The 20,605-nt window shown below is 46.2% G+C and overlaps 1 protein-coding gene across 13 annotated transcripts in view, besides 1 other annotated feature; it reads right to left on the bottom strand.

Moving 5' to 3' along the window:
• Positions 1-20,605, bottom strand: part of MILR1 (mast cell immunoglobulin like receptor 1) — a 48,242-nt gene that overhangs the window by 25,019 nt on the left and 2,618 nt on the right. For 5 of the 13 annotated variants that reach the window (XR_002957990.2, XR_002957989.2, XM_024450708.2 and 2 more), the window contains exons 3-9: positions 19,472-19,741; positions 14,654-14,938; positions 11,406-11,516; positions 6,797-6,886; positions 5,840-5,896; positions 5,676-5,744; positions 4,693-4,773 (exon numbers count right to left, since the gene is read on the bottom strand). Coding sequence is in view for 11 of the 13 variants with exons in the window: in XM_024450708.2 (XP_024306476.2) it covers positions 4,721-4,773; positions 5,676-5,744; positions 5,840-5,896; positions 6,797-6,886; positions 11,406-11,516; positions 14,654-14,938; positions 19,472-19,741 (935 nt within the window). In the remaining 2 variants the exon portion in view is untranslated. Of the gene's footprint in view, positions 1-369; positions 2,758-3,694; positions 4,774-5,675; positions 5,745-5,839; positions 5,897-6,796; positions 6,887-11,405; positions 11,517-14,653; positions 14,939-19,471; positions 19,742-20,605 lie in introns of those variants that run through there. The other 8 variants (NM_001438833.1, NM_001085423.2, XM_047435790.1 and 5 more) reach the window with 8 other exon arrangements.
• Positions 14,933-14,992: an enhancer, noted in NCBI's record as "active region_12592". NCBI's record gives its function as "activates an Ori minimal core promoter by ATAC-STARR-seq in GM12878 lymphoblastoid cells {active_cell/tissue: GM12878}" and the evidence as "EXISTENCE:reporter gene assay evidence [ECO:0000049][PMID:35858748]".

Genomic DNA, 20,605 nt, shown 5'->3' with positions numbered 1-20,605 from the left:
TGTGCCACCACACCAACTAATTTTTGTATTTTTAGTAGAGACGGGGTTTCACCGTGTTGGACAGGCTGGTCTCAAACTCCCAACCTCAGGTGATCCACCTGCCCCATGGGATTACAGACGTGAGCCACTGCGCCCGGCCCCTAGTTATTCTTTGGATTTAGTTTATGATTTCTAAATGTAATTTTTAAATGTTTCATCTAATTAAATGATTTATCTAATTAAATTTAACAATCCTTTATGTTTTCTGGGTTGTGAGTCATACCTATAAAAGTCCTCCCCACTTCAAGATTATTTTTAAATCCCCTGCATATTCTTCTAGCTCTTCTGTGACTACATCTATCAGAATTAATTTTGTTGTAAAGAATGAGGTAGGAGTCCAACTTTTTTAATGTGATTCTCAAGTTTTTACAATATGTTGAATAATCCATCTTTTCCCCATTGATTTAAGATGCCATATTTATCCTATACTAAGTTCCTGTACATATTTAGAACTACATCTGGACTTTCCGTTCCATTGTTCTACTTGTTCAATCACATACAAATATGTTTGTAGAGACAGGGTTTCGCCAAGTTGCCCAGGCTAGTCTTGAACTCCTGGGCTCAAGCAATCCTTCTGCCTTGGCCTCCCAGGGTATTGGGATTATAGGCGTGAGCCACCACACCCACCCCTATTGTTGCCATTGTTCTAGTTGCTGTGATAGAGGAAATGTTGGGAGGTGGTGTATCTGCCACCTCTGTGTCCTGTGTCATATCCCTGGGCCTTCCCTCTGACCCAGCAGCATCTGAGGGTCTACTCACTTTGCACTGATAGTGTCTTGCTTCAATTGCACAATACACATGTTCACTTTCTGTCCTGGGGTGTTTGCAGTGCCTGGGGTGAGACACTGAGGTAAGCCTGCTTGGAATACCCACATGCTAGTCTAGAAGTGGGGGAGGTGTCGCTTTCTGGGGTGATCCTCAACCAGTGAGCGTTGGACACCAGTGGATAAATGCCTCTCACTATCAATCCTCAAGTGGACAATACTGAGAAGAGGCTCTTGGGCTCTTCAGAAGATTCCAGTGGGCTCATGTCCAGCTGCCCACCACAGTGCTCAACTCAGCAAAACACCCTGGTACTGGTTTTTCCCATGGCGCATTGGGCCTGCTTCCTAGGGCCACCTCCTACATAAATGATGTGCATAGAAGGCCTTATTTCAGGCTCTGCTTTCAGGTCTGGTCCAGGATAAAACAAGCGACCAGAAGTCCCTAGAAAGCAGCCTCAGGGAACAAAATTACCCCCTAGGGATGGATGGCAACAAGGACTCCCTTGCTGGTGATAGGTAGGCAGTGAGAACCCTTAGAACGCCACAGCTCCACAATTCCTAAGACCTTCCCCTGCCATGTGGAATGAGGTTTAGAAAGAAATGAGGCACTAGTGGACGCCAGCATTCCAGCACTTGAAAGGTTTGGGGCAATGCTAATTATGTGGATTGTGAAGTTAATTGGCTTCTCTTAGCTGCCTTAGAAGATTTGCAAGGAGAAAATGAGAGGCTACGGTTCAGGGCAAGCTGTGAAACCCTGATGACAGGGTTTAAGCCACTCTCATTTATCACAGCCAGCTGGAAGGCTGTGCTGAAAGCCAATTCCAGGATCTGATCGAAAGGGTGGGCCAACCATGGAGGAGATGGAGTGAGCACATCTAGCAGTTCTGCTCTGCTAACTTCTGACACTGACAGGGACGGGGTAGGCCTTGGGATGTGGACATTTGAGAATAAGAAACTCCCAATGCCCGCGAGCGCTCTTGAGAAGGAGAACAGCCCCTCTTATTAGAAGACCTCACATGAGGCAGGCGCTTCACAATATTTTTTAAATTATTGTGGTAAGTTATACATAACATAAAATTTTTTACCATTTTAACCAATTTTAGGTGTGTAATTCAATGGTATTAAAAACATTCATTCATATTGCCGGGCGCAATAGCTCATGCCTGTAATCCCAGCACTTTGGGAGGCCAAGGCAGGCCAATCATTTGAGGTCAGGAGTTTGAGACCAGCCTGGCCAACATGGTGAAACCTCATCTTTACTAAAAATACAAAAATTAGCTGGGCATGGTGGTGGGTGCCTGTAATCCCAGCTACTTGGGAGGCTGAGGCACAAGAATCGCTTGAACCCGGGAGGCAGAGGTTGCAGTGAGCCGAAATCGTGCCCCTGCACTCCAGCCTGGGCAACAGAGAGAGACTCTGTCTCAAAAAACAACAACAACAAAACTCATATTATTGTGCAACCATCACCACCTTCCATCTTTTTTCCAGAACTTTTTTGTCTTTCCAAACTGAAACGCTGTATCTGTTAGCCAGTCACTCCTCGTTGTCCCCTGCCCCCATCCCCCAGGAACCACCATTCTATTTGCTTCACTACATTTTGCTTGTCTTCTTTAAGATCCATCCTTGTCTCCCCTATAGCTTAATAACCAGGGTCGGGTCTCAGTAGAGCCTGACAGGGTAAAGGCAGTTCCTGATGTGAGTGGCAATTGCTGAGCCACACAAAGACTGCAGCATCTGCGGACGCACTCTTCCAGGAGCCAGAGGAGCCCACAGCAGCGTGGGTCTGAGCGTGCTGAGGTGGTGAGCGTGGATATAAGACTAGATCAGGAAATGGAGGGCCAGGCGAGGTGGCTCACGCCTGTAATCCCAGCACTTTGGGAGTCCGAGGTGGGCGGATCACTTGAGGTCAGGAGTTGAAGACCAGCCTGGCCAACATGGCAAAACCCTGTCTCTACTACAAAATACAAAAATTAGCCGGGCATGGTGGCACACGCCTATAATGCCAGCTACTTGAGAGGCTGAGGCAGGAGAATCGCTTTAATCCGGGAGGCGGAGGTTGCAGTGAGCCAAGGTCGTACCATGGCACTCCAACCTGGGCGACAGAGCCAGACTCCGTCTCCAAAACAAAGGAAATGGAGGTTTAGTGTCATGTCAAGGACACCTGGAACTGGCCCTAAACATGCATGATGGGTCTCCTTGAAGCTTGGATCCCACAGGACTCTACAGCTGAGTGGTCCAATACAGGATCCACAGCAAACCAGAGGCAATGCTACATTCTGAGGGAAATAGGGTAGTTGTACTTGTTAAAATGATAGGATTTTGGATATGCTGGGTTAAATAAAATATATTATTCCAATTCATTTCACCTGTTTCTCTTCTTTTCTCTCTTTCCTTCCTTCCTTCCTTTTCCTTTTTCTTTTCTTTTCTTCTTTTCTCTTTTCTTTTCTTAACACAGGGTCTCACTCTGTTGCCCAGGCTGGAGTGCTGTGGTGCGATCTTGGCTCACTGCAACCTCTGCCTACCAGATTTAAGCGATTCTCATGCCTCAGCCTCCTAAGTAGATGGAATTACAAGTGCCCGCCACTGTGCCCAGCTAATTTTTTTGTATTTTTAGTACAGACGGGGTTTCACCATGTTGGCCAAGCTGGTCTTGAACTCCTGACCTGAAGTGATCCACCCACCTTGGCCTCCCAAAGTGCTGGGATTATAGGCGTGAGCCACCGTGCCCGGCCATCTTTTCATTTTTTTATTGTGTCTACTAGAAAGAGTGACAAGTGCCCATGTGGCTGACATTATATTTCTATTGGACAGTGCTGACCAGTGGAAAAGATCATGGAGATGCCAGACAGGTGTGAGCAGAATATTGAAGAGTCAGAAGGCTCAGAGAAGGATGCATGTTCGGATGAATTTATTCTTGGAGACCCTTTATTTACTAAAGCGATTCAGGGCCGGGCACGGTGGCTCAGGCTTGTAGTTCCAGCACTTTGGGAGGCCGAGGCAGGCAGATCATCTGAGGTCAGGAGTTCAAGACCAGCCTGGCCACCATAGTGAAACCCCATCTCTACTAAAAATACAAAAATTAGCTGGGCGTGGTAGCGGGCACCTGTAATCCCAGCTACTCGGGAGGTCGAGGCATGAGAATCGCTTGAACTGGGAAGATGGAGATTGAAGTGAGCCAAGATCGCGCTACTGAACTCCAGCCTGGGCAACAGAGTGAGACTCCATCTCAAAAAAAAAAAGAGAGAGACAAGAGAGAATATAAAAGGCCACGTGAAGACAGAGGCAGAAGTTGAAGGGAGGCAACCACAAGCAATGTCTGGAGCCCCAGAAGCTGGAAGAGGCAAGGAGGGTCCTCCCCACAACTTTTGGAGGGAGCATGGCTCTACAGAAATGGTTGCTCTAAGCCACCAACTTGTGGTCATTTGTGGCAGCAGCCCTAGGGGACTAAAACATTCTCCCTCCCCCACAACTCAACTCTGTGGGCTCTCTCCCTGGCAGCACATCAAGGCACACCTTTGGCATTAGCTAAATCTGGAGGGCTAGCTAAATCATGAACATCAATGAATATCAATATCTTTTTTTTTTTTTTTTTTTTTTTTGAGATGAAGTCTTGCTCTTGTCGCCCAGGCTGTAGTGCAGTGGCACGATCTTGGCTCACTGCAACCTCTGCCTCCCGGGCTCAAGTGATTCTCCTGCCTCAGCCTCCCGAGTAGCTGGGACTACACACACACACCACCACACCTGGCTAATTTTTGTATTTTTAGTAGAGATGGGGTTTTTGCCATGTTGGCCAGGCTGGTCTCGAACTCCTGACCTCAAGTAATCCACCTGCCTCAGCCTCAAGTTTGCTTTTTGTTCATGGAAATCAGCTTCATAAAAAGCATCTTACCCTGAGATGTAGTTTGTTTCTGTAAATTTCAGAAGTTGAGTTCAGAATAGACATATCCAGATTTATAAGAATCACAGGCTTCTGAAATATAAAAGGGAAAATAATTTACTTAGGATATGTGACCAGCAAGGCTGTTTTTAAAAATCCTATTTCTAGTAGCTGGGTGGCCTGACAGAACCAGGTATTAACTAATTTTTTCCTGGACTGTGTTAAATAATTTATTCTTGAAAATGTTAGCTGGGCATAATGCCTCATGCCTGTAATCCCAACACTTTGGGAGGCCGAGGCAGGAAGATTGGTTGAGCCCAGGAGTTCAAGACCAGCTTGGGCAATATAGCAAGATACTTGTCTCTATCCAAAAAAAAAAAAAAAATTAGTCAGACATGGTGGTGCACACCTGTAGTCCCAGCTACTCAGGAGGCTAAGGTGGGACGACTGCTTCAGCCCAAGAGGTAGAGGGTGCAGTGAGCTGAGATTGTGCCACTGCACTCTAGCCTGGGCAACAGAGTGAGAGTCTCAAAAAAAAGGAGAAAGGCAGGAAAGAAAGAAAAGAAAGAGAAAAAGAAAGAGAGAGAGAGAGAAAGAAAAGAAAGAAAGAAGAAAGAAAGAAAGAAAGAAAGAGAAAGAAAGAAAAAGAAAAAATAAAGAGAGACAGAAAGAGAAAGAAAGAAAGAGAGAGAGGGAGGGAGGGAGAGAGGGAAGGAAGGAAGGAAGGAAATGTTTGAGTAGTGATCCTGTATCCTCCTCTCTGGGTTTTTTTTCTATGACATTCCCCCACCACATCTTTCCCTCTTCCTCACCCTCCATCTCCTGATGAGATTTTTTTAGGAGCTGGGGTGCTGGTTGCCATTGGTTCCTTGCAGTGTGCCTGCATTGCTCCCATCCACCCCATTAACGGGCTCCTGAAGCCCCTGAATATAATGACATCAGAGGGACCACCTGTCTCATTTCACCAGTACCTCTTATCCCAACCTGTGGCTCACCTTGCTCTCTTGGTGCCACCTCCTGGAACACGGGGGTGGCATACTGTAGCTCCTGGGAGTGTTTGGCCTCTGGGCAAAAGATAAGGAATAGGAATTATTGGGCCAATTATGTGAATTTCTAAGCGCATGAGGGCAGTGGAATAGACTCTGCAGAACATGCTCACCATCTTGGGCTGTGGAAACACACGGCCTGGATCCCACTTCTGGCACAGATTCCTCCTCTGTAAAATGAGAATGACATAAATTGGGGGTTGGTGGCGTTTGTGTTAGAAAAGGTCGGTAAATTGCTCAGCAATGCGTCTGGAATGTGGCCATGTAGGCTGGGACTGTTCCATTGTCAGCTGATGATAGGGTTTGACTGTGTCCTCACCCAAATCACATCTTGAATTGTAGTCCCCATAATCCCCACATCTCATGGGAGGGACCAGGTGGAGATAATTAAATCATGGGGGTGGTTTCTGTCATACTCTTCTAGTGACAGTGAGTTAGTTCTCACAAGATCTGATGGTTTTATAAGGGGTTTCCCCCTTCCCTTGGCTCTCATTCTTCTCTCTCCTACCGCCTTGGGAAGAAGGATGTGTTTGCTTCCCCTTCCACCATGATTGTAAGTCTCCCGAGGCCTCCCAAGCCCTGCGGAACTGTGGGTCAATTAAACCTCTTTCCTTTATAAACTACCCCATCTCAGGTATGTCCTTATAGTAGCATGAGAATGGACTAATACATCAGCCGAGGCGCTGGGTCTTGTTTACTGCAAAGCAATATGCAATGCCTGCTTTGAGAGGTGACCGTGAAAGACTGTGAAACACAGTGTGGATCATTCTGAACAGATGTGAAAAATCTCCAAGATACGTTGTTACATGAAAAAAAAACAAAATCATGGTGTAGAAAGTCATACCTACAATATGCTACAATCACTACCATTTGTTTATTATACACACAGAATATCTGTGGAAGGATTTAAAAAACTGGTTATTACCCCTAGAAAGTGGGACTGGGCATCAATAGACATTGAACTCTATCCCTTTTGCTCCACCCCCCACTCCCGTATGTCTGTACAACCTTAACAAAATAAAAAGACAAAAACCTGAAACCACCCAAAACACGCAACAAAGTTCTCTTACTTGCTTGTTTTTCAAGGATATTTGCATAGATTCCAACTTCCATGGCTGTGTCTCCACGGTCCCTGGGCACATTATTTCTCATAGCTTTTCCTACGTAAATAGGTAGGAATCATCAAATTAAACCAATTCAGCCACATTTTTCTCATCTCCTCGGCCAAGGAGCAGAATTCCCTCAAAGTTCTGAAACAGAGAGTGACTTGCTCCAATGGCCCAAACTGTTGTCTAACAAAGGAAAACTATAGACTCAACAGGGAGTCTAGACACCGCTCCTCCAAGCCAGGGGCTGTTCTGATTTATTTTCCTGGCCTTCAGAGGAACATGCTTTGCCTATCAGATTATGCCTGAACTAGCCAGACTTATTTTCTTTCCTTCGCTGAAGAGAATAGTCTGTGGAAGCTTTGTAATATCTTCAAGAGAGTGTAAATGGCCTATTGAATTCTTTTTTTTTAAGATGGAGTCTCGCTCTGTCGCCTGGGCTGGAGTGCAGTGGCACTATCGTGATCTCGGCTCACCGCAACCTCCGCATCCTGGTTTCAAGCGATTTTCCTGCCTCAGCCTCCCGAGTAGCTGGGATTACAGTTGTGCACCACCATGCCCAGCTAATTTTTGTATTTTTTTGAGACGGAGTCTTGCTCTGTTGCCCAGGCTGGAGTGCCATGGTGCAATCTCCGCTCACCGCAACCTCCGCATCCTGGTTTCAAGCGATTCTCCTGCCTCAGCCTCCTGAATAGCTGGGATTACAGGCATGTGCCACAATGCCTGGCTAATTTTTTGTATTTTTAGTAGAGGCGGGGCTTCACCATGTTAGCCAGGCTGGTCTCAAACTCCAGACTTCAGGTGATCAAAGTGCTGGGACTACAGGCATGAGCCACTGTGCCCGGCCAGCCTCACTGAATTCTATTGTAGCTCCAGCCAGTAATCAAAAATATTAATGCCACTTTTGCAAGAACCTGGACTTTTTATAAGAAGGAGAAACATGTTTTTAAGACATATGAGATGTGGGCCAGGGTGCAGTGGCTCACGCCTGTAATCCCAGTGCTTTGGGAAGCTGAGGTGGGAGGATCACTTGAAGCCAGGAATTCAAGACCACCCTGGGGAACATAGTGAGACCTTGTCTCTAAAAAGAATTTTGTAATTAAAAAAAAAACAAAAAACTGTAATCCCAGCACTTTGGGAGGCTGAGGCAGGAGGATGGTTTGAGTCCAGGAGTTCAAGACTAGCCTGGGAAACATGGTGAAACCTACAAAAAAAAAAAAAATTAGCCAGGCATGGTGGTGCGCGCCTGTGGTCCCAACTACTCAGGTAGCTGAGGCAGGAGGAGGCCTGGGAGGTCAAGGCTGCAGTGAGCCATGATTGCACCACCGCACTCCAGCCTTGGGTGATGGAAGTGAGATCCTGTCTCAAAAAAAAAAAAAAAAAAAAAAATGTCAGGCGCGGTGGCTCACCAGCCCCAGCACTTTGGGAGGCCGCGGTGGGCGGATCACGAGGTCAGAAGTTCAAGACCAGCCTGGCCAACATAGTGAAACCCCATCTCTACTAAAAATACAAAAATTAGCCTAGCGTGGTGGTGGGCGCCTGTAATCCCAGCTACTCAGGATGCTGAGGCAGGAGAAACGCTTGAACCTGGGAGGCAGAGGTTGCAGTGAGCGGAGATTGTGCCACTGCACTCCAGCCTGGGCAACAGAGCGAGACTCTGCCTCAAAAAAAAAAAAAAAAAAAAAAAATTAGCCAGGAGTTGTGGTGCATACCTGTATTCCCAGCTACTAGGGAGGCTAAGGTGGGAGGTTACAGTGAGCTATGGTGGCACCACTGCACTCCAGCCTGGGCAACACAGTGAAGCCCCATCTCTAAAAAAAAGAAATGAAATAAAATAAAATCTTAAAGATGCATCAGATGTATAACTTGTGACCTCTGTGTTCAAGTTTTATGTCAACTGAGTCCCTGACTTCTCTGAGTTGTGACTCTCTGGAGATGGTTCTCAATTGGTTCTCTTGCCAGTTCTGACAATATCTCCATGGCCCATTCCACAACTCAGAACACTGAGGCTCAGAAGCAACAGCCTGAGGGGCTTGTCCAACAGCCCTCAGCTTGCTGATGGGGGCCAGTGCTGAGACCCAAACTGTCTTTTGTGTAAATCTTCATATCCTTCTGCACTCGTGTACCAAATGAAAAAACCACTTTGAAGGCTTAACCAGTGGTGGCCATAAGACGTGAGGAATGAAAAGCAGTAACTGGGCTGAGTGCAGTGGCTCATGCCTGTAATCCCAGCACTTTGGGAGGCTGAGGTGGGAGGATCGCCTGAGTCCAGGAGTTCAAGACCAGCCTAGGCAACACAGTGAGACCCCGTCTCTAAAAAACATTTTTTTAAAAAAGCTGTAACTGAGGCTTCTAATAACATTGACAAGTTTTCTGCTGGATGTAGCACTTAAGGTGGGGAAGAGAGAAATGATGCTTTTTTGTTTCTGTTTTTGTTTTTTTGAGTCTGGTGTGTTTAATAAAGTTTTTTAAAAAATCTTATAGTAGAATAGATTATACTTCTACATTGAAAATCTAGAAAGCATAGAAATGTAGAAATAAAAAATATGTATATATTAGGTTGGTGCAAAAGTAACTGTGGGCCGGGCGTAATGGCTCACATCTGTAATCCCAGCACTTTGGGAGGCTGAGGCGAGCAGATCACCTGAGGTCAGGAGTTCAAGACCAACCTGACCAACATGGTGAAACCCTGTCTTTACTAAAAATACATGGTGGTGGGTGCCTGTAATCCCAGCTACTCAGGAGGCTGAGGCAGGAGAATCGCTTGAACCAGGGAGACAGAGGCTGCTGTGAGCCGAGATTGCACCACTGCACTCCAGCCTGGGCAACAGAGCGAGACTCCATTTCAAAAAAAAAAAAAAAGTAATTGTGGGTTTTGCCATAAAAGTATGGCAAAAATTGCAATTACTTATGCACCAACCTAATATTTTCAATACTTCCAGCCCCAAACAATTGTAAACCTTTTGAAGGTGTCTTTTGTGCTAATGGGATGACGCTTGTTTGTCCTCATGCACTGAACCTCCCCTACGTATGTGGCAGATCTAGAGTCACTCAAGGCAAAGCTCTCGCTTGAGGCACTTGCAGTCAGGAGCAGCCGCACCACTTGCAGCGCCCAGTGCGAAATGAACACTGTTCACAGGCCTTAAACTTGTGTTTAATTAAGAACACAAGTTCTTGGCCCGGCACAGTGGCTCACGCCTATAATCCCAACACTGTGGGAGGCCGAGGTGGGAGGATTGTTTGAGCCCAAGTGTTCGAGACCAGCCTGGGCAACATAGTGAGGCCCCGTCTCCATTTAATATAGAATAAAAAAAGAAGAGAGAGAGAGAGAAAAAAAGGAACACAAGTTCTTAAAGTCAGGACCGAGTACATCTTTCACAAGCAGTCATACGAGGAAAAGGGCCTCTTGTTTAAAAACATTAATAATTTCACACCCACGTTCCTAGCATTATTAAACAATAGACAAAAGGTGGAAGCAACCCGGGTACCCATGGGGGATAAATGGATAAACAAAGTGTGGCGTATTTATGTACAATGGGACATTCTTCAGTCTTATCAAGGAAGGAAATTCTGACACATATGACAACATGGATGAACCTTGAGGACATTAATCGAAGTGAAATAAGCCAGTTATGAAAGGATAAATGCTTCCACTTCCATGAGGTGCCTAGAGGAGTCAAACTAATGGAGATAGAAAGCAGAATGGTGGTTGGCAGAGCCCGGGGGAAGAGGGGATGGGGAGCTAGTGTGTAATGGGGACAGAGTTTCAGTTTGGGAAGATGAAAAAGTTCTGGACATGGATGGTGGAGAAGGGTGCATGACAATGGGAACGTGCTTAATGCCACCGAACTATGCATTTAAGCAGGTTAAAGTGGCCCATTTAGTGTTATGTATATTTTACCACCATTAACAATTTTTAAAAGAGCGTACAAAAAATTATGAAGAATTTCAAGATGCAGCCGGGAGCAGTGGCTCACACCTGTAATCCCAGCACTTTGGGAAACTGAGGCAGGTGGATCACCTGAGGCTGGGAGTTCGGGACCAGCCTGGCCAACATGGTGAAACCCTGTCTCTACTAAAAATACAAAAAATTAGCTGGGTATGGTGGCGGAAACCTGTAATCCCAGCTTCTTGGGAGGCTGAGGCAGGAGAATTGCTTGAACCCAGGAGGCGGAAGCTGCAGTGAGCCGAGATCGTACCACTGCACTCCAGCCTGGGGAACAAGAGCAAAACTCTGTCTCAAAAATAAATAAATAAATAAATAAACAAATACCAAATGTGGAGTTCTTCTTGGCACAGGGCCCTGTGTGACAGCACAGGCTGTACGTCTGTGAAGCCAGCTCTGCTTGCCCTCAAACAGAAAAGGCTTTCCCTGGAGAAAGAATTACCCTCTGCATGAACCGTTCAGGAAGTCTATTCCATTCCCGCCCCCCTTTCTCATGTTTTCCTCCTATTTTCATTTTCTCCCTATTCTATTTCCAATCCCCTTTTCTCTTTCTCCTCACCCTCTGTCCTGCTGTCTGTATCCCAAGCCCACGGGAAAACGGGTGGTAAAGCGACTAAAAGAACTTACTTGTTTTGTATTTGGGCAGTACCCAAAAAGCCAGAATTAGGATTATCACCACCAGCAACAGTAATAACCCTGGAAGTAGTAGCTTCAGACAGAAAGGACAGCTGTCTCCGCCTGGAAGAAGACCGCATCCATTGGTGACCATAGCATTTTCTTTTCCAATGACATTAAGCCAGTAAGTGTTTTAGAAAAGGTGATGTCTCCCAAGTTAACCAATGTACTATGCACCCAGGTTCCCAAATGGTCATGACATCTAAAACTCACGGGACTTATTAGTCAATAAAGTTCTTGACTGGGCGTGGTGGCTCACACCTGTAATCCCAGCACTTTCGGAGATCAAGGTGGGAGGATTGCCTGAGGCCAGGAGTTTGAGACCGGCCTGGGCAACATAGTGAGGCCCTGTTTCTACAAAATAAATAAATAAATAAAAATTAGCCAGGTGTGATGGCATGTGCCTATGATCCCAGCTACTCAGGAGGCTGAGGCAGGGTGATCGCTTGAGCCCGGGAGGTGGAGACTGCAGTGAGCTATGATTGTGCCACTGCACTCCAGCCTGAGGGACAGAACCAGACCCTGTCTCTATAAATAAGTTAATAAATAAACAAAAATAGGTTGAGCTCAGTGGCTTACACCTGTAATCCTAGCACTCTGGGAGGCCAAGGCAGGTAGATCACCTGAGGTCAGGAGTTTGAGACCAGCCTGGCCAACATGGTGAAACCCTGTCTCTACCCAAAATATAAAAATTAGCTGGGCCTGGTGGCGCGTGCCTGTATTTCCAGCTACTTGGGAGGCTGAGGCATGAGAATCGCTTGAACCCAGGAGGCGGAGGTTGCAATGAGCCGAGATCGTGCCATTGCACTCCAGACTGGGTGAGTGAGACTCCATCTCAAATAAATAAATAAATAAATAAATAAATAAATAAATAAATAAATAAATAAATAAAATAAAATAAAATAAAAATAATAAAGTTTAAAAAGTCATGACCAAGCACATCTTCCACAGGGGCCACCCAAAGAAGAGAAAAGCAGCACAGAATTTAACAGGACGAATACCAGCAACATTTCTGGGGTCATGAGCACCAGAAAAGCCTGGGTGTTTACTGGGCAAGGCCCTGAGCCCTGGCAGCATGTTTCGTGTCATCCAAACAACTGCCAGTTGTTGAGTTTTAGCTGCAGGCCAGACACTGTGTTAGGCACTTCACCTGTGTTGCCTTATTTATCCCATTGGCATCACTCCCATTTTATAGATGAGGTGAGTAAGGCTCAGGGAGGTGAAATGACTTTCCTAAGGTCACACAGCCAGTGAATGGAAGGGCTGTGACTCATAGCCAAGTGCCTGACTCCAGCAGGCTGCCTCACTTGTTAGACCACACTCACTGAATACCAGGGCGTGGGCTCTGTTCTGAGGACCTGGCTGGGTGAAGTGGTCAATGTCCAAGTGTGCCTTGTGCCTTTGCTAACCTAGTTTTTCTTTTCTTTCTTTTTCTTTTTCTTTTTTCTTTGAGACAGGGTCTCGCTCTGTTACGCAGGCTGGAATGCAGGGCACGATGATCACAGCTCACTGCAGCCTCGACCTCTCAGGCTCAAGCAATCCTCCTACCTCATCCTCTGAGTAGCTGAGACCACAGGCATGCACCACCACACCCGGCTAATTTTTTTATTTTCTGTAGAGACAGGGGTTTTGCCATGTTACCCAGGCTGGTCTCAAACTCCTGGGCTCAAGTGATCTGCCAGCCACAACCTTCCAAAATGCTGGAATTACAGGTGTGAGCCACTGCACACGACCTAGTTTTCCTTCTATCCTCCTACCTTGACAAATGCACCTTCAGAAGGACCTGGAAGGTCAGGTTTGAATCTGGAATTCTCAGACTTTCCAGAGTTTGGCATCAGGACGTGGCAGCATGGACAGAACCCACTGAAGTCCCGGGCTGCCCCGCTCCCGACCTGGGCTCTGACCTGCACCCTAAGGGGCCTTGCATGCACGTGGACGCCCCAGCCCACATGTGCAAACACCATCCACACCCCCCATAAACAGCTCCCTTGGCTCAGGTTCAGGGATGCTCATACCCTTACTGTGGGCCACCCTCGGGAGGATGAGCTGGGGGAGAGACTGGTACAGGCCCTGGAAATGGCTTCTGATCTGATTGGGCAGGGGATTTTGGTCCAGGTACCTAGAGTGTGGAGCAGAAAAGTGGGAGTATAGGGTTCAGGTGGCTGCATCCCCACGGCTCCCTGAACCCCTCAGCCTAGGGGAAGGTGCATAGCCTGGAGGTACCAGACCAGAGCCCACTAAACACAGGGCTTGGCCAGAGGCCTCTCTTGCCCTGAGCCAAGGGTGGTGCAGGAGTCTGGACCCATCATCATTAGCAGTGGAGCAATAAACAGCCAAGCAGGAGGGCATGGTATTAGAAATCAGTACAAGATGGCCAGGCACAGTGGCTCACAGCTGTTATCCCAGCATTTTGGGAGGCCGAGGTGGGCAGATCGCTTGGGGCCAGGAGTTCGAGACCAGTCTGGCCAACATGGTGAAAACCCGTCTCTACTGAAAATACAAAAATTAGCCAAGCGTGGTGGCGGGTGCCTGTAGTCCCAGCTACTCAGGAGGCTGAGGCACAAGAATCTCTAGAACCTGGGAGGCAAAGGTTGCAATGAGCTGAGATCACACCACTGCACTCCAGCCTGGGCAACAGAGTGACACTCTGAAAAAAAGAAAAGAAAAGAAAGAAGGAAGGAAGGAAGGAAAGAAGGAAGGAAGGAAGGAGGGAAGGAAGGAAGGAAGGGAAAGAAAGGCAGGCATACAAGAAGGAAGGAAGGAAGGAAGGAAAAGAAAGAAAGGCAGACATACAAATGATGAAAAAACAAAGAAAACTAAAAGACCTGGCAGTTCTAAGACAGATGCAAATTGGAAAGGCAGGGCAGAAAGTTTTGCCACAAGTCCCCCTCCTGCTCCAGTTTCTAGGCCTTTCTGTGGTTCCTTTATGGCAGAAAGCAACCCCATGAGAGTTTGCATGGACTCTACCAAAGAGACCCTTCAAGTGATCTGCCAGCCACAACCTTCCAAAGTGCTGGGATTACAGGTGTGAGCCACTGCACACGACCTAGTTTTCCTTCTATCCTTCTACCTTGACAAATGCACCTTCAGAAGGACCTGGAAGGTCAGGTGGCCATGGTGGGAAATGGGTGGGCAGAGGAGCAGCTGCAGTTTCTGGAAGTGAGTTCAGACCTGGCTGAAAGAACTCAGGTTGCTCTTACCTGTTGAGGGCATGGTGACAGGGTGACTGTATGTTGCATAGTTAGGCAATCTGTTTTTAGCTTCACACCTATACTCTTCCTCTTCTCCAGGATTCTTCTTGGTTAAGTTAAATTCAGCAGGCTCCCTGTCATACTTGGAAATAGCTGGTGATATGGCAACATGGTTTTCAAAGAAAGTGTAATTGATGGGCAGCGAGCCATTGACTGAGAGGCAATGTAATGTTATATGTCGGTCTGTTTCTGTTTGAATGACCATAATGTTCAGCACTGGGGAAGTCACCGGGTCTGGAAGAATGAAAGTGAACATGAAAAGGATAAACAGACTGGGTGTGCTCACTCAGACCACAAATATGAGTGGAACCCTTACTCCACTCCAGGCTGTGGAACCAAGATGAACGACCCCCTTCCTGAGAAGTCAAGAAGCTCACGGCCCACTGGGAAAGGCCAATGGGCATGTGGCCAACCCCGTGCAGTGTGTTGTTAGCCGAGGTTCTCAGCTGAGTGCTGAGAAAGCCAGAGAGTGGAGGGCATCTCTCTGCTTTGAGGAATTGGGGTGCAAGCTTGCCCTTCCTAGAATTCACAATCTATTTATTGTTAATAATGAATATAATTTTGTCAATGATCCAGTTCTAAGTATGAAGCTGAGAAGTGCTTTTTTATGTTTATTTTTTATAGACATAGGGCCTTACCATGTTGGCCAGGTTGGTCTTGAACTCCTGGCCTCAAGTGATCCTCCCACCTTGAATTCCCAAAGTGCTGTGGTTACAGGCAGGAGCCACCACACCCGGCCCAAGAAGTGCTTTTATTCTCAATCCTTGTAAATTTACAGTGGGTTTTTTTAATCCAAAAATATCATTTTCTTTTCAATGTATTTATTTATTCAGAGACAGGGTTTTGCTCTTTCAACCATGCTGGAGTGAAGTGGCACAATTATAGCTCACTGTAACCTCAAACTCCCAGGCTCAAGTGATCCTCCTGCCTCAGCCTCTGTAGCTGGGACTACAGGTGCACACTGCTGGCTAATTTTTAAATGTTTTGTAGAGACAGAGTCTCACTATGTTGCCCGGGCTGGTCTCAAACTCTTGGCTTCAAGTGATTTTCCCACCTCAGCCTCCCAAAGTGCCGGGATTTCAGGTGTGAGCCACCATGCCCAGCCCCAAAAATATCGTTTTCTCCAACTGTACTTTTATTTATAGAACTCAGCTGCACAATTATCTTTCACTTCCTCCAAAGAGCAGGAAGTAACCCTGCTAACTAGATTCAAGAGAAATTCTCAACAGGAAATGGGTCTGCTACACTCTGTTAGATCATAGCCTATTCTATGACCTAACAGAAAAACCCAGCTATACATTTTATTATATATATATATAATGCATTAATAAGACAGTATTATAGGAAAGGAAGAAAAGCTGTTAAGTATCTATCATGTGCCAGGCGTGCCAGTCACATGATCTCATTTGACCTTCACGACAGTCTTGTAGTGTGGATAGTATCATGCCCATTCCACAGATGAACCAACTGTGCTTCAGAGAGATTGAGAAATTTGCCCAAGGTCACACAGCTAGTAAATGGCCGAGTTGGGACTGACTTCAAGAGTCCACACTTAAAAACAATTTTTTTTTTATTTACTTTCTTTTCTGTTTTGAGACGGAGTCTCACTCTGTCACCCAACCTGGAGTGCAGTGCCACGATCTCAGCTCATTGCAACCTCTACCTCCCAGGTTCAAGCAATTCTCCTGCCTCAGCCTCCCAAGTAGCTGGGGATTACAGGTGCCCACCACCATGCCTAGCTAATTTTTGTATTTTTAGTACAGACAGGGTTTCACCATGTTGGCCAGACTGGTCTTGAACTACTGACCTCAAGTGATCTGCCCCCACTCAACCTCCCAAAGTGCTGGGATTACAGGCGTGAGCCACTGCAGCCGGCCCTGTGTTCTCTTTAAACATTTGATGAGTGAGCACTTTGGGAGGCCGAGGTGGGCAGATCACGAGGTCAGGAGATTGAGACCATCCTGGCTAACATGGTGAAACCCCGTCTCTACTAAAAATACAAAAAAAAAAAAATTAGCCAGGCGTGGTGGCAGGCGCCTGTAGTCCCACCTACTCGGGAGGCTGAGGCAGGAGAATTGTGTGAACCCGGGAGGCAGAGCTTGCAGTGAGCCGAGATGGTGCCACTGCACTCCAGCCTGAGTGACAGAGCAAGATCCATCTCAAAAAAAAAATTTTTTTTTGATGAGTGAATCAGTGATTAATGAATTTGTGTTTATGGCTCATAGTTTCAACCCTTACTGGGTTGGAGACAACACTATGTTTTAGGCCTCATTAAAAACCCAGTAGTACAATTGCTTGCATGGAGTAGGTACTCCGTAGTGCCTATTGATCTGGCCTAACTGAAGATGATACAGTTTTATAATCTACCAAGATAGTTTTATTACCAGACTGTGTAATTACCCTAACAAATTGCAGGAAGGTCGTGCACAAAAAACATATGAACTGATGGGCTTATTGCTGAGTGCAGCAGGAGTCTGACCACTAGAGAATACCATCAGCTGTGTTCCTGCCCTCACATATCCATCGTATTCCAGTACCATGTTTGCAGGGATTTTCCCCCTCCTTCTTCCTTTTCCTTTCACAAGGAATATACTCAGTTTATGTCCAAAGATCATTGGGATTTTTTTTTTCTTGAGACAGGGTCTCTCTCTGTCACCCAGGCTGCAGTGCAGTGGTGCAATCACAGCTCACTGCAGCCTTGAACTCCTGGGCTGAGGCAATCCTCCCAACTCAGCCTCCTGAGTAGTTGGCACTATAGGCACGCCACCACGCTCAGCTACATATATATATTTTTTAACTTTTTGTAGACACACAGTCTCCACATAGTTCCCAGGCTGGTCTCAAACTCCTGGGCTCAGGTGATCCTCCCGCCTCAGCCTCACAAAGTGCTGGGATTACACCTGTGAGACAGCGCACCTGGCCAAGATAATTGGTTCTAACCTGGAGTCCGTAGCATTCTCTAAAACCTTATGCAGAAATTTGTATACGTAGTTTTATGAGCATTTCTCTGGAGAAGATATTCATTGCTATCATTGGATTATTAAGACAGTTATAACCTAAAAAGCTAAGAATCACTGAGCTACAGCAATGTCACCCAGTAGAACTTTCTGTGATGATGGGAATGGTCTACATCTGTGTTGTCCAATGTGGCAGCCACCAGCTACAGGTGTGGCTATCAAAGCCTTGAAATGTAACTGAGACTGTGGAGGGAAATTTTTTATTTCATCTAATTTTAATTGACTTGATTTTAATTATGGCACGTGCTTGTAATCCAAGCTATTCAGGATGCTGAGGTGGGAGGATCTCTTAAGAACAGGAGTTTGAGGCTGCAATGGGCTTTGATTGCCTGTGAGTAGCCTCTGCACTCCAGCCTGGGTGACATAGGCTATTAAATAAATAAACGTTGGCCAGGAGCAGTGGCACACGCCTGTAATCCCAGCACTTTGGGAGGCTGAGGTGGGTGGATCACCTGAGGTCAGGAGTTAAGACCAGCCTGGTCAACATGGTGAAACCCCATCTCTATTAAAAATACAAAAATTAGCTGGGCATGGTGGTGCATGCCTGTAATCCTAGCTACTCGGGAGGCTGAGGTGGGAGAATTGCTTGAACTCGAAAGGCGGAGGTTGAAGTGAGCTGAGATCGCACCACTGCACTCCAGCCTGGGTGACAGGGCGAGACTCCATCTCAAAAAAAGAAAAAAAGAAATAAAATAAAACAAAATAAACAAATAAGTTTAAACAGTACCGTACTGGATAGCATAGACATAGAGGACCACTCAAGAGTTATCAGGAAGTCAGGGTCCCTACGCTTTGAAGACTCCAGGTATAACATACATGTGTTACCTAGAAGCCTTCTCTCCTCCCACAGGAGTCCATTATCAAGGTCACCTTCACGGATGAGGCCCTTAATGCTAGGCAGTAACAGGCTTGGGGTAGGAAAATGGGACAGAAAAACACAGAAGTAGTGAGATGTGGCTAGGCAGGAAGAGTGCTAGCGGATGGGGCCCCTGACACTAAGGAAGCGGTGGGAAAGGCGTGAGGCTTTGAAGACCCTCTCCAAGGGGCCCAAGGCTTCAGAAAAAAAAAAAAAAAAAAAAAGCGATTTTTGCCCACACAATGGGAATCACAGAATAAAGTTTCTAGAAAAGACCTCCACAATTATTGTTGAGATATAAGACTTTTGCCTAAAGATATAAGACTATTATCTGACATGGTCGAAAGTCTTTGAAAGAGAAGGTGAAACGGAATGATTAAGAATAGAGAACTCACTGGGCATGGTGGCTTACATCTGTAATCCCAGCATTTTGGGAGGCTGAGGCAGGCGGATCACCTGAGGTCAGGAGTTCGAGACCAGCCTGACCAACATGGTGAAACCTCGTCTCAAGTAAAAATACAAAAATTAGCCAGGCGTGGTGATGGGTGCCTGTAATCCCAGCTACTTGGGAGGCTGAGGCAGGAGAATGCCTTGAACCCAGGAGGTGGAGTTTGCAGTGGACCATGATTTCACCACTGTACTCCAGCCTGGGCAACTGAGTGAGACTCTGTTTCAAAAAAAAAAAAAAGAATAGAGATCTCAAAAATTAAAAAATTAAAAGATACTTCCTGTTGACCAGGTCTAAAAATAAATAAAAAATAAAAAAAGAATAAAGCTCGCAGTAACATACTTTCCAGGTTCTTAAGTGTTCACAAGGATCATGGAGAGCCCCTCATAGAACCAGAAAGCACCCTATAAATTATAGGGGCTCCAAGGAACAGGCACTCTACTTACCGACAATCGTGAAGCTGAAGTCACGACTGTATTTTGAACAGCTGGTAACTTGGGCTTTGCATTTGTAGGGGCCTGATTCATGGGCTTCTGTGATGCTTAGGTTAAAAATCGCAGGTTCACCTTTTCCATCCTGGGTTCCCAGGTGTGTCTTACGTCGAAACAATGAATAGGTGATCTGCAGTGATTTGTTCTTATGGGAACAAAACATAGATACATTTTGACCCTTCATAACCACCTTAGTCTTTGAGTCCAAACATGGAGAAGGGAATTCTGAAAAACAAAATGACACAAGAAAAAGTCCTTCTTAAGATCCTGGCCGGGCAAGGTGGTTCACGCCTGTAATCCCAGCACTTTGGGCGGCCGAGGCAGGTGGATCACTTGAGGCCATGAGTTTGATACCAGTCTGGGCAACATGGCAAAACCCTGTCTCTACTAAAAATACAAAAATTAGCTGGCATGGTGGTGGGCACCTGTAATCCCAGCTACTCAGGAGGCTGAGGCAGGAGAATTGCTTGAACTAGGGAGGCGGAGGTTGCAGTGAGCCAAGATCATGCCACTGCACTCCAGGCTGGGTGACAGAGTGAGACTACCTCAAAAAATAAAAATAATAATAAATAAAAAGTTCTTGAAGTTGGGTGTGGTGGTTGACGCCTATAATCCTAGCACTTTGGGAGGCTGTGGTGGGAGGGTCACTTGAGGTCAGGAGTTCGAGAACAGCCTGGGCAACAAGTGAGACCTCGTCTCTAATTTTTAAAAAACAAAACAGAACAAAAAAAAAAAAAAACATAGCTGGGACCAATGGATGGCTTGGGTGGAAGACAGATTTAGACTCTTCAAAAATGCTTTTAAAAATGCAGTAAACTCTCCTCCCACTCTTTGATCTGGACAATTAACATTTTCTCAGTCTTATATAAGCTCAACTTTTTTTTTTTTTTGAGACAGAGTCTCACTCTGTTGCCCAGGCTGGAGCGCAGTGGCACCATCTTGACTCACCACAGCCTCCACCTTCCAGGCTCAACTGATCCTCCTGCCTCAGCCTCCTGAGTAGCTGAACTATAGGCACACACCACCATGCCCAGCTAATTTTTGTAGTTTTGGTAGAGACAGGGTTTCACCATGTTGTCCAGGCTCGTC

Source organism: Homo sapiens, chromosome 17, assembly GCF_000001405.40.
Source record: "Homo sapiens chromosome 17, GRCh38.p14 Primary Assembly".
Lineage (NCBI taxonomy): Eukaryota > Metazoa > Chordata > Mammalia > Primates > Hominidae > Homo > Homo sapiens.
The sequence above is the reverse complement of the archived record's forward strand: the minus strand, read 5'-3'. Positions and strand labels throughout refer to the sequence as shown.